Source organism: Homo sapiens, chromosome X (genome assembly GCF_000001405.40).
Source record: "Homo sapiens chromosome X, GRCh38.p14 Primary Assembly".
Lineage (NCBI taxonomy): Eukaryota > Metazoa > Chordata > Mammalia > Primates > Hominidae > Homo > Homo sapiens.
Genome location: NC_000023.11, coordinates 30,826,530 through 30,840,837, shown reverse-complemented (window position 1 = coordinate 30,840,837; position 14,308 = coordinate 30,826,530). Strand labels below are relative to the sequence as shown.

Here is a 14,308-nt window from a genome sequence, read left to right as displayed (position 1 = left end):
CAAGTTGATTAGAAATGGTGGAAAACACGTGCATCATGAGCCATCCCTCAGCATAAACTCCCTATAGGTGTGGTGTATTAGTCTGTTTTCACGCTGCTGATAAAGACATACCCAAGACTGGGCGGGCCTCACAATCATCACAGAAGGCAAGGAGGAGCAGGTCACATCTTAAAGAGAGCTTGTGCAGGAAAACTCTCCCTTATAATAACCATCAGATCTCGTGAGACTTACTATCACAAGACCTGCCCCCATGATTCAATTACCTCCCACCAGGCCCCTCCCACAATATGTGGGAATTCAAGATGAGATTTGGGTGGGAACACAGACAAACCATATCATGCGGTCTGAGGGACCCACCATAAATAACAAAGACACTGCCGTTACTCAGGAAATTTCAAGGTTTTGAGCCAGGGACAAAGCCAGACCTCTGTTTGGGCAAGGCAAAATTCTTTCCCATGCGATAGTTAAAGCAGTGCTTAGAAGGAAATTTATAGCTTTAAATGCTCATGTAAGACAGGAATATCTAAAATTCTACCTTAAGAAACAAGACAAGAACAAAGTAAAAACAAAGTAGAAGAAAGGAAAGTCAATGAGATAGAAAACAGAAAAAGTTAACAAAGCAAGTTTGATCTTTGAAAAGATAAACAAAATCAATAAACTTCAAGGTAGACTGATCTGTAAAAAAAGAGAACACAAATTACCACAATCAAAAGTGAAAGATGGGTTATCTATTACAATGATAATGATAATAAGGGAAAGTGATGGACATCTTTATGCAGTAAGCTTGACACCTTAGATAAAGTGGACAGATTTCCTGAACAATATAATCTACCCAAACTGAAAACAAGACAAAACAGTAAATATTAGTAAGTGTGTGTTTTTTTAATATATATTATATATATATATATATATATATATATATAATATATATATGTATAAAGAAACTGAATCCACTATCAAAATTTTCCCCCACAAAGAAAACTCCAGATCCAGATAGATTCACTGGTGGGTAAATTCCACCAAATATTTAAGAAAGTAAAAATACCAATCTTAAACTCTTTGAGAAAATACAGGAGGGAACGCTTCCCGTATTTCTTTTTTGTTTTTTCATTTCATTTCCTTTTCATGTTACTGAGAGGAAGTTGCGGAGATTTTCCATATACCTCCTGCCCCATTATCAGCATCCTACACCAGAGTGGTACGTTTGTAACAATTGATGAACTTATATTGAGACCTCATAATCACTCAGAGTCCATAGTTTACATTAGGGTTCACTGTTGGTGTTGTACCCCATCTTTTTTTATGGCGCTAGCAGAACTCTGATTCTAAAACCTGGTAAAGACATTATGTATCTGCCCCTCACAAAAAGAAAACAAAATTTCAGATCAATAAACTTCATGAACATAGAAACAAAAAATCCATAATTCTGTTTTCTATCTCATTGACTTATAGTCACTATATAAAAAAAGATAATACATTATGACCAAGTTGAGTTTAGCTTAGGAATATAATCTTGGTATAGGCATTAAAAAACCAACCAGTGTAATTTACCATATTAAACAAAGGGAGGAAAAGCATGTGATCGTTTCACCAGATACAGGAAAAACATTTGACAAAATTCAACAGCCATTCCTGACAGACAAAAACTTTAAACAAATTAAGAATAGAAAAGAACTCTTTCAGTCTCATAAAGGGCATCTTTCAAAAACCTTTAGCTGCCATTATTACTGAATAATGCAATTCTGAACTTACCAACATTGGGAACAAGGCAAGGATGTCTATTCTCACCACCTTTATTCAACGTTGTACCTGGAGTTCCTAGCCCATGCAGTAAGAGAGAAAAAAAAAAAGCATAAATATTGGAAAAGAAGAAATAAAACTATATATACTACAGATGACATAATTATTTTTAAAATCCTAAGGATACTGGAAAACAACTAACTATTAGAACTAATAAGTGAATTTAACAAGGCCTCAGGATGCAAAGTCAATATATAAACATGTTTTTACAATATCAGTAAACACTTGGAAAATAAAATTCAAGAGAATTTCATTTACAATACCATCAAAAACCATGTAACACTTAGGAATAAATTTATCCAGAGATGTATACATTGAAAACTATAAAACATTGTCAAAAGATATTTAAGAAGACCTAAGTAAATGGAGTGATATACCATGTTCATTAACTGACTGAATCAATATTTTTGAGATACCTGTTCTTACAAGGTTGATATATAGATACAGTGTAATACCAATTATAACCCCATTAGGTGGTAGTGCATTTTTAATTAACAAACTGATTATAAAATTCATATGGAAATACAGAAAGTCCTAGAACATCCAAAACAATCTTGAAAAAGAGCATCCAGAAGTCTTAGACTGGCTCAGTGCAATGGCTCACACCTGTAAACCTAGCATTTTGGGAGACCAAGGCAGGAGGATCACTTGAGCTCAGGAGTTCGAGACTAGCCTGGGCAACATAGACCTCATCTACAAAAAAAAATTTAAAAATTAGCCAGACATGGTGTAATTAAAAGTGTATGAAAAGTGTGTTAGTGTAGAGCTAATTTAAAAATAGCTCATTGCAGCCTCACCTATAGTCCCAGCTATTCTGGTGGCTGAGGCGGTAGGATTGCTGGAGCCCAGGAGGTTGAGGCTGCAGTGAGCCGTGATTGCAGCACTATACTCCAGCCTGGGTGACAGGCTGTCTCCAAAAAGGAAAAAAAAGTCTTAGACTAACCAACTTCAGGACTTACTATAAAGCTACAATAACCACAGTGTGATATTGGTATAGGAATAAACAAATAGATCACTGGAACAGAATAGGGAGCCCAGGTTTATACCCCCCAGTCACACTGTCATTTGATATTTGACAAAAGCACCAAAGCAACCAATAGACAAAGGAACATTTTTTTCAACAGGCAGAGCTGGAAGAACTGGATATCCATGTGGAAGAAACACACAGTCTGATCTCTACCTACCTCACATCATACACAAAAATTTGAGATAGCTCATACACCTAAGTATAAAAGTTAAACTATAAAGCTTCCAGAACAGAATATCTTTGCAATTTAGGTATAAAAGTTTTTGGACAGGTCACAGGAAGCAATAAAAAGAAAAACAATTGATAAATTAGTCTTCATTAAAGTTTTACACTTCTGCTCATCAAGTGACACTATTAAGAAAATGAAAAGGCAAACCACAGACCAGGAGAAAATATTTGTAAAATATGTATCTGATGAAGGATGGTATCCAGAGTATATAAAGAATTTCTACAACACAGTAATAAAAAGACAACTCAATAAAAAAGGGTAAAACACTTGAACAGACACTTGACAAAGGAATATATATATGAAAGACCATGAAAAAAGAAATATCAAGGAATTTTCCTGGGGTAATCAGATGGATCTGCTGCCAGGATCCTGTATAGTCAGATTGTGGTTTTCTAGCAATGGTGATGTTCGTGTTAATATGTCATTCTGAGGCCAGCCTTGTGGCTCATGCTTATAATCTCAGCACTTTGGGAGGCCTGGGAGGGAGGGAGGATCACTTGAGGTCTGGAGTTTGAGACCAGCCTGTCCAACAGGGTGAAACTCCGTGTCTACTAAAGATACCAAAATTAGCTGGGCATGGTGGCGTGGACCTGTAATCCTAGCTACTTGGGAGGCTGCGGCAGAAGAATCACTTGAACCTGGGAGGTGGAGGTTGCAGTGAGCCGAGATCGCACCACTGCACTCCAACGTGGGTGACAGAGCAAGATGCTGTCTCCAAAAAAAAAAAAAAAAAAAAAAAAGATGTCATTTTGCCTTCTGTCTTTGGGACCAACACCATGTATTCGAGGTGGGAGGTTCCTGTTTGGTATCCTCCTTGGCTGGGCATTGAATAAGGCTTGCATTAATATTCCATGATGTGGTCCCATTAATATCAAGCTTCATCTAGCGCTCTACAAGTACCTTTACACTAAAAAGACTTTGTTTGTTTGTTTTTGTTTTGAGACAGGGTCCCGCTCTGTCGCCCAGGCTGGAGTGCAGTGGCATGATCATAGCTCATTGCAGCCTCGACCTCCCAGGCTCAAGCCATCCTCCTGCCTCAGCCACCTGAGTAGCTGGGACTACAGACGCACACCACCACGCCCGGCTAATTTGTGTATTTTTTGTGGAGACAGGGTTTCGCCATGTTGCCCGGGCTGGTCTCAAACTCCTGGGCTGAAGCGATCCTGCTGCCTTGGCCTCCCAAAGTGCTGCGATTACAGGCATAAGTCACTGTTCCTGGTCTGAAAGACTCTTTTCTATGACTCATTTAACTCAAACACAATTTGCAAAAACTGATAGTCCCTTAGAGTTAGTTATAATGGGATTTCGGTTAAAATTTCTTAAATATGTATTGAATGCTCAATGCGTAGCTCAATTATGTAGATAGATGCTTGCTGTTACACAGGGAAAACATGACTCCTACCCCAAGCAGTTTAATATTCTACATATGTACACTTCTAATAAAAAAGAGACTAGGAAGCCATCTCAGTCATCTTCACTATAAATGAATTTCTATTTTAGAAATTTAGTAGTTGTAATTCTATAATAATATATATTATTGGTGAAAGTATAAATGGTTCTATTATATGCCAAATTGTCTTTAACCCGTTTTTTATCTTCTTCTGTTAAAACTTAGAAACAGTAGAACTTGATTAAATTCTATAATTTTTTGGTAAGCCTTTCATCACAAATTTATAAAAGCTATTCAGTTTTCTCCATAAAATCAAGTTTGTTTTCCATTAAGCACTTGCAGATTCTCATATTGTATTTGAAACTAAATCGGCGTTTTCTAAAAGTACATATAGTTTAGCACAGATTGGCCTGCTATTGCAGGCCACTCAAATACAAAAAGAAAAAAGATAAACCAGTAAAACACAAATTACTGGTAGAATAGGTTTATTGGTTCGAATAAATAAATGTCTTGGAGTTATTACAGATATATACCAGAAATCCAAGTGTAATTAATATAGTTTATCTGAATTCTAAGTGTGATAATTAAAGAATGTGAGGGAGACAGAAGGAAAGAGAGAGAAAGAGACAGAGAAACAAACCTTTTTTGGATTGGACTTTGTAGTTAAGCAATACAGTGTGTACGTGCTCTTCAGCGGGCTTAGAATGTCTCCCAACCCTTATTAGTAACTCATAACAGTGGTAGATTGGACTTTGTAGTTAAACAATACAGTGTGTATGTGTGCTCTTCAGTGGGCTTAGACAGCTTCCCCAACCTTCATCAGTAAGCAAGCAAGCACACTGACCTTGGTGTCCCACGATCTGAGCACTGGTCCTGGTCATCTTGGCCACCTGACCTTGTTCAAACTCAATCTGAGCACCATAGAGGGACAATCCAGCCAAATACTCCAAAGGTTGTAAGAGTTAGTGAGATAAGGTATGTGACTCGACAGAAGTACTTTGCAAATCTAAGAAACAGAACTTTACCTTATTCTTTGGAGCCTTAAGGAGACATTCACTCTGCTTTTGTTTACTCAGACAATGGAGTATTTAAGTACCTGAGCACCATGCTTTGGATTCTGGAGCAGTGATTTCCAAAGATGAGTTGTACTGTGGGCTCAGAATTCATTAGAAAATGCAAGATCTTTCTTTGGTTCCTAAGGGCAAATAATATAAAGGCTGCCATTTTTCATTTTTAATCCAAAGGGTTGCTTACTAATAAACTATAAATTTATAGAAACAATTTTCTAGCAAGATATTAGGATGCCTACAGTTCTTGTCTGTGTTGCAAAGTGTCTGCTGGGCTTCTGCACACATAGGTAATTGGAATTCAGGAAATGATTTGGGAGCACGTGGTTGTCAGTATATACTATTATATCGAGTTGGTTCTGATTTTTCAAGTACTGCTATTTTTAAAAAATCCACCAGACACAGTGGCTCCTGCCTGTAATACCAACACTTTGGGAGGCTGAGGTGGGAGGATCACTTGAGGCCAGGAGTTTGAGACCAGCCTGGGCAACATAGCGAGAGACCCTGTCTCTACAAAAAATAAAATTTAAAAAATTAGCTGGGCGTGGTAGTGGCATGCACCTGTAGTCTTGGATACTTGGGAGGCTGAGGCAGGAGGATCACTTGAGCCCAGGAGATCAAGGCTGCAGTGAGCCATTATTGTGCCACTGTACTCCAGCCTGGACAGCAGAACAAGACCCTGTCTCAAAAAAAACAAAAACAAAACAAAAAAAATCCTGTCATTTTCATCACATTTCATCATTGTAATAGCCTTACTGTATGGATAGTGCCCATAATTTTAAAATAATTTTTAAATAATTATTGCTTAATCAGATAATTGCTAAAGTAAAATTTCCCAAATTTTGCTTTCACATCGACATTTATTTGCTATCACTGAGTTTGTACCCCTAATCCATTAAAAAGTAGAAAACAGTGAAATAGGGCATTTGTTCTAAGTAATGGGAGAAGATGTAACTGGAGAAGATGGAAAAAAGTTGTAAGAACCACTGCTCTGTATAGGTTGTAAAAGCAGTATTAAATATGGTGCCTGCCCTTGCTAAAGGTAACATGAAGTAATAGGTAGGGTAAATGCACTCAGCTGTGTGGGTTGCTTGAAAGATCTTGTGAGCCTGTTCACTCTTGCAGTTGAAAGACTGGATCACTTCTTTCTGGCGTTGTTTATTTTTATGCAGACTCCTCAGACCCCTGCACAATTGAGAGAAAAGCCCGAAGAATTAGCGTGACCTCCAAAGTACAGGCAGACATCCATGACACCCAGGCAGCAGCTGCAGATGGTTTGTACTTGTGTGTCCAGAGTTTGTGCAGAATGTCCAAAGACACATGTTAATCCATGTAGAATTATAAGTAAAACCATACCTTTATTTTTTGCTTTAAAAACATTACCGAGTTTCTAAGGCTGTGCTGTCCAGTAGAAATATAATGCAAGCCACATATACAATTTAAAATTTTCTAGTAGCAAAGATGAAATTAATTTTTTTTTTTTTTTTTTTTTTTGAGACGGAGTCTCGCTCTTTAGGCCAGGCTGGAGTGCAGTGGCGCTATCCCGGCTCACTGCAAGCTCCGCCTCCTGGGTTCACACCATTCTCCTGCCTCAGCCTCCTGTGTAGCTGGGACTACAGGTGCCTGCCACCACGCCCGGCTAATTTTTTGTGTTTTTAGTAGAGACGGGGTTTCACTGTGTTAGCCAGGATGGTATCGATCTCCTGACCTCGTGATCCACCCGCCTCAGCCTCCCAAAGTGCTGGGATTACAGGCGTGAGCCACCGTGCCTGGCCAAATTTTAATATATTTTTATATAATTCAGTATATACAAAATATTATTTCAATATGAAATCAATATAAAATTATCAGTGAGATGTTTTACATCCTTTTTATACTAAGTCTTTGAAATGTGGTGTATATTTTACACTTATAGCAACATTGAGTTTTTAGAGCATGTCTATTAAAAACCAGCAACAGTAAGATACGAATTTTTTTTTAAGTGTTACGTTTTTGGGCATATTGTTCTTTTAAAAGGTAAAGACAAAAGAGGTCCTTTTCTGAAAATGGCATAGTAGGCCGGGTGCGGTGGCTCACACCTGTAATCCCAGCACTTTGGGAGGCCGAGGCAGGCGGATCACGAGGTCAGGAGATCGAACCATCCTGGCTAACACGGTGAAACCCTGTCTCTACTAAAAACACAAAAAATTAGCCGGGTGCGGTGGCAGGCGCCTGTAGTCCCAGCTACACAGGAGGCTGAGGCAGGAGAATGGCGTGAACCCAGGAGGCGGAGCTTGCAGTGAGCCGAGATCACGCCACTGCACTCCAGCCTGGGCAACAGAGCAAGACTCCGTCTCAAAAAAAAAAAAAAAGAAAGAAAGAAAATGGCATAGTAAACATTTTTCCTCCAACCGAAGGCTTTATTCCTCCATATGAGACAAAAAAGAAAACTGTATTAAATCTACATGTTTTGGAGTCATGAGCCAAAAGACACAAGGTGGGTGATAATGGCAGTTAAAAAGCAATAGTTGAAGCAAGAGAAACAAGCCCATCTCCTATTTATAGTCATAGGAAGCAGCTGAAAAACCCAGTAATTTTCTGTTATATCCTAAGGCTAAGATCACCTTCCTGTTTGAGGCTGAGCATTATCATACCTTGGGGTAAGGTTCAGGGTCTAAAATTCAGTTCTCCTTATCTCTTGGGGAATGTTATAACATTTGTCATATAAGGCAAATTGATAAACTAGAAGTCAGCTTGTTAATTTCCAGTGGAAGATATGCCTAGCCCAAAATAGTAACTGACAAAGCTTCCCTAGATCTGTTTCTTTTGTTACCTATTTAAAAAGGTGTTGCTTACCTCAGATCTTAATCTCATTTCCAGTTACCCCAGATTCCAGGGTGAATTCCATCTGGAGATCTTTAGTCTCCTATTTATTGACCTCAGTCTCAATAGAGACCTAAAAGACAGAAATTACAGGTTAACTCTAGATGCAAAGAGCTTTTTTGAGCACAAAGCCAGAGGGAATGAGGACCTAAGAGGAATGTAAGTTTGGATATCTTTTTCAAATCCTGGGGACCAACATAAGGTTGCCAGGTATGGGCATTTTTAAAAACTGATATATGAAGGATTTTTAATGCCAAAAATGTAGGAAAGAATATGAGAATAAAAGTCTTTTATACTGAATGAATTTAGCTTTATGAAAAATGAACTGTAGAATCTTCCTCTTTTCACTATTCTGAGGAAAACTTTGGTATGAACTGCCACTGCTATTTATGAACCATTAATATAAAACATATGCATATTGTAGAGCTTAAGTTGTCATGGAAGAAGGCACACATTTAGTCAGATGTTTAATATAGTGTGGATAGTATTATACTATAGAGAGGAAAAGTCAAGGTGGGCTGAAGTCAGGGAAAACTTACAGAGGCGACAGAATTTAACATGCTATAAAACATTTCTCTTTTTCTTCATTTGGCTGGAATAAAGCATAACTCTCCGCTATTTACAGGTAATGACCTAGGAAGGCAATCTATTCTGGACATATATCCATCTTCTTATAGCAGAAAAAAAGTAATTAGAACAAAGTAAAAGATCAACTTTCTGTTCAACTATGCATTTCCAGTAGATATATTTACTAATTGGCTTACATATTAAAGTAGGCAATTACCTCCCTTGATTTTTGTGGTATTTTTCTTTTCAGTTTGGATTATACTTGGAAAAAGGTTAATCTATTTACCTTCCCCCTCCCCCTTAATCCTAACCTCCCTCAGAGCATCGAACTGGCTCCACACAAAGTCCTCGGACACAACCTCGAGATGAAGACTACGAAGGGGCTCCATGGAATTGTGATAGCTGCACCTTTCTTAACCACCCAGCACTAAATCGCTGTGAGCAGTGCGAGATGCCACGGTACACCTGAATTCAGAAAAGTCTGCGCCAGGTTGAAAGTGAAACTTTGAGCACTACCAGAAGAAAAGGAAACCTCGGGACTCTATTCATCCACCCAGCCTTTTCATTTTCGATTGCACAGCGGGGAGGAGGAATGGCTTTGTGGTCGTCGTTGTGCTCACGAAAGGAAAAATGGGGAGGTCTTTTTTTTCTCCTTTCTTAACTCACTACAGAGTGAGAGATAGAAAGGGATACTTGAAACTGGGAAAGGATTCACTCTGTGAAAGAATGTACACACAGAAGTCAAGAGCTCTTCTGTGGTGGAATCCCAATTGTTAAAGTTACTGCTGAGTGGCCCTTATTTTTTAAAGTAGTACTTTGAATCATAGTATGAAATGCTACAGTTTATGCAAACTGTGAATTCCCAGAGCAGACTTACCTGGTCACCGCTCTCTGGAAAACCAAGGCTCCCCGTGCTTCTTCCCATTGCTTCCTACTAAAGAGGACAACAGGAAAAAGCACCTAGAATATTTGGGGGGGGGGGGCAAATTAATTAAGGGTATTTGTAATTGCTGCTTTTTTCAGGGGTAATTTCCAACACACATACATGCACACAAACAAAATGTTTTAAAATGTGATTTGTAGCAGTCAGGAACTAGGCATATCATGCCTTTGTTTAAAAGTACAATCAGAGGTGGTAAGATGCCTTTGGCTTGTACAGTGTGATTCATCGAGCTCTATCAACACTGGTAACTAAGACCTACTTATGCCACATAAGAGATGCATTTTTTTAAGTTACTGCATGTTTTTATTAAGGCCATTGGTTTTCAAAATAACAAGTCCTTACAAAGTATGATTTTATAAATGATATTCTCGTAAAACTGCGCTTTGCCAGTAGCACAGTGAATGTATGCCAAATGCAAGTCCATTCCAAAATCCATTTGGAAATCTTGAGCTCAGCTGTGGTTCTTAAACTTTTGCAGTCCATAGGGCCTTTTTTTTTTCCTTCCAATTTTGTGATAAATTCATGATGTTTACAGCACAGATAAAACTTTGTGCCATAATCCTAATTTAGCTGAAATCAATATTAACTGTTCAATAAAAACTTACTTGCATATGTTAACAAACCAGTGTGAGGGGAATTACAGTTGGCCAACGACAAAGTTGCACACTGCATTATTTAGGAAAGGAGGGATTGTCAAAAATTATTAAGAGAAAGGTGAATATAGAGGACTTTGAAACAACTTTTAAAATTTAACATAACTGTATCTAGAGGTCAATTGAGTCTCTACAGGCAGTTCAGATCATTTTAAAGCACTCCTTATTTATGAAATAGAACTTCAGGGTGCGGATAAGAGATATAAAGTCATGTGACTCACTAGGGTGCATCGCTGGAAACTTAATAGCACATTTCATTAAGGTCTCTGCCATTGTTGGAGTTCCTTCTTAGCTCAGAATTGGAGTTTTGGAATCTTCCCCTCATTTTGGTGAGTATAAACAGCAATAAAGTTAGTAGGTTCTCCCATCCTAAAGGATTTTACCTGAGGATATCGTCTTAGGAATATCCATAGACGCTCCCATCAGGTTTCTCCCCCAACCCCCCTACACCGCCCCCCCACTTCTAATTTAGCAGTAATCTCTGGCAGACCTGGAAAAACAAGCTGCTCTTAATAGCATAATGAAACCAAAGGCGTAATAACTCATCATAGTTTTCCATCAGAATCATTTCACACTCTGCCTACAGCTTTGAAAACATTTTTTCATATGTGAAAAACTCCCCAAAATATATCCACTAGTCTCCCAAAGGAAGCATGGTAATTAACACTGATAAAAACATCTCTCACACAACAACTGTGGCAAAACTGTGAAAATAACGGTGAGAAAGCAGATGGGCTTAAAAGCATGGTCCCCAAAACAACGTTCTTCAAAGGTTTTTGTAACACTGGTCTCTGTCTCCAATAACAGTCTAGCCGTCCTACTGTTCTGTAATATGCCTTTGCCTTTGTATGGTTTCATATCTCTTTAGTGATGGTCAACCCCACTTGGTTTTAAGTTACAATTTAGGGGAAATATATATATATATACTGCTTGGTGTCCTAGCTAAAAGGTTTACCAGTATTCATAGTGATATGCTGAAGTGGAGGCAATTAACTTGGCAGTTGTCAGTTGAGAATGAAAGTAGCATGTCTGAAAACAGTCTGATGCTTTATAAAACCATGTAGATGACTTTAAAACTATTGCATGAAAATACATCAAGGTTAATAAGCTGTTATACAGTAGATGCATGGTTTCAATCCTTTGGTGATATTATCTAGTCAATCATTGTTTTCACCTGCCAGGAAAAGAGAGAAAACAGTCTATTGGATAGGTGTAAAGGGTGGGGTATGCGGTATCAGATTGATTTTAAGGAAGTTTTGTACATGTTAATTTTTAATTGTGCACAAGTTTCATATGCCAACATAGGCTGTATTCAGTTTTAAAATAGGCAAAATGACTTGACACTGATAAATCTGGTATGTTTAACTGTGTCCCATATGTAGACTGCTTTTTGCCTATGACCAGTTTGAACAAGAATTCACCCAACTTTCAAGATGCCTTTTCAAAAGGATCTTGTAGTCAGTTGGTATGTACAGACAATTGGCATGGAAGTGGTAGGATATAAATCGGATGACGCCTGGCTGCTGAGGTGCCAGCTGGATCAGCTGGTGCACTTCTTGTTTCTTGTAAGAGGTTTCTTTAAAATGACTAGTTTGATGTATCTGGTAACATATAGGCCTGACTATACATTTTACATTATTTCGCTATTTTGTAAACTGGGATTTTAGAAAGCACGTTTGCCATTTTGTTAAAGTACATTGCCCCTTAAATTTTGGAGTAGTTTTTAAAAGTTTAAAATGGTAATAGAGGAGCCAGAAACTTTTTAAGCATTGTAAAATGTTTTGAATTGATATTGACTTTGTTTGGAAGAGAGTAGAGGCAGGGGGCTTTAAAGAAACAAAGAAATGCATTGTAAAAATGTAGTTTTAGAGCAAATTAATAATGATGGTGGGGAAAGTGTTGCTAATTTGTTTATTTCCCTGGAAGAAATGGGAAGTGTGATAAGCAGTTTAATTTTTAAGGAGCTGGTCTCAATTTTAGTACTTTTTAATTATGCAAATAAATCAATGTTTCCTTAAATTTTGTCATTGCTTTGTCACAGTTGTCTAGGGTTCATATCCAACCTTCTGTGGCAATTCAATTTTATATAGTCTTTTAAGAGGTAATTGTAATGTATTTCTGACAGTATAAACAAAAAGAATATAAGGCATAGAAGAATTGTCCTCTAAAAATATCAATGATGTATCCTGGAATGTGAAGATGTCCCTTTATAGTTAAAAATTGAATTATTTTAATATTGTACCATTGTTAGACCTTGAATGAGTCCATGTTACCGTGTGTGTCTGTATATCTATCTGTAGAGAAAGAAAAATGACAACTGAAATGTTACTTTTAAAAATCAGAATAAATTGGGCACTGTCTGTGTTGCACCACTACTGTATCTTTTCGAAAGAATTAACAGTATTTGCCTATTGTAAAGGTTAATTCTGATGACGTTTTCACATTCACCAGACTTTTTTTCCTGTATTATTTGCATCCCCAAATATTTAATACAAGTAGATTCTGCATGGCTTGGGCATTCAGAGATTAATAGAATGATGACTCAATTTTAATTCTAAAGCCATGAAAAGTTACTTTGAGACTGAACAATTCTGAATTATTTATGATACCCAATGTCCATGTTTCTTTCCCTACTGTAAAAGAATTGATCAGTTTCTTCATTAAAGCAGCAAAAACTTATTAAATCTTGTAAATACCATGTCTCTTTTAGATTTCTGTGTATGCTGTGAATGAAATCATTTTGAGATGAAATTGTACAAAGGCATTTTAAAAGGCTCTGCATGCATCGTACCTCCAAACAGTACATATTCGGAAAGTCAAAGATTCCTGCAAAATAAATAAACTAAAAGCAAACACTACATTCTGCATCTTTTCTGCGTAGAAATTTACAGTATCAAATTAGTTCTAGTGTCAGCACTCATATTTCTGGACTGAAATATGCTGTCTCAAACGTAATCATCACATTTGTCTTCCTTTATTAGAACACGTAATGTTAGATTTGGGGTATTAAGTGCACATTACTCCAATTGGAAAATTTAGTAAAATTATACATAAGCAGGTTTTACATAAAAGTTGTTGGAATATGTTAGGAACTTCTTTTCATCCCACTTTAGAATGTTATTTACAAAAGAATACATAGTTTTCTTTTTTAAAAAATCTTTGTCATTTCAGAGGCAAATAATGTTCTGATACTTTGTTAGGGTCTGTAGTAAACCTTTACAGCTTTTACACAGAAATTACCACAAATGAATTATAGTAGGTAACATTTTCAGTGATTAAGCACATTTAAATTCAAAATCATTTCCAGGCTGGGCACGGTGGCTTATGCTTGTAATCCCAACACTTTGGGAGGTCGAGGTGGGAGGAAGGCTTAAGCCCAGAGTTCAAGACCAGTCTGGGCAACATAGTGAGACTCTCGTCTGTTCAAAAATACACAAATTAGCTGGTCATGGTGGCGTAGGCCTGTAGTCCCAGCTACTCGGAAGGCTGAGGTGGGAGGATTCCTTGAGCCCAGGAGGTCAAGGTCACAGTAAGCCATGGTTGTGCCACTGCACTTCAGCCTGGGCAACAGAGCGAAACTGTCTCAAAAAAAAAAAAAAAAAAAAAGTCGTTTCCACTACATTGTTTTAATACATGAAAAATTGCAAGCATACGCAAGTAGAGATATAATGATCCCCCATTTATTACCCAGCTTCCAAAATTATCTATGTATAAGCATTCTTATTTCGTCTGTATTTTCATCCCACCTCCCCCTAGATTATGTTGAAACA

At 37.5% G+C, this 14,308-nt stretch overlaps 1 protein-coding gene and 1 long non-coding RNA gene across 11 annotated transcripts in view; one reads left to right on the top strand and one right to left on the bottom strand.

The window, feature by feature from the left end:
• TAB3 (TGF-beta activated kinase 1 (MAP3K7) binding protein 3) overlaps positions 1–13,396 on the top strand; it is a 61,813-nt gene extending 48,417 nt beyond the window's left edge. For 5 of the 10 annotated variants that reach the window (NR_174362.1, NR_174361.1, NM_001399870.1 and 2 more), the window contains one exon: positions 4,003–4,518. Coding sequence is in view for 7 of the 10 variants with exons in the window: in NM_001399870.1 (NP_001386799.1) it covers positions 4,003–4,280 (278 nt within the window). In the remaining 3 variants the exon portion in view is untranslated. Of the gene's footprint in view, positions 1–4,002; positions 4,519–6,685; positions 6,788–9,262 lie in introns of those variants that run through there. The other 5 variants (NM_001399872.1, NM_152787.5, XM_047441986.1 and 2 more) reach the window with 3 other exon arrangements.
• TAB3-AS1 (TAB3 antisense RNA 1) lies at positions 1,765–6,215 on the bottom strand. The gene is made up of 3 exons (NR_145449.1): positions 6,075–6,215; positions 5,543–5,641; positions 1,765–1,818 (listed from the first exon to the last, which is right to left on the bottom strand). It is a non-coding gene; the product is annotated as a TAB3 antisense RNA 1 (long non-coding RNA).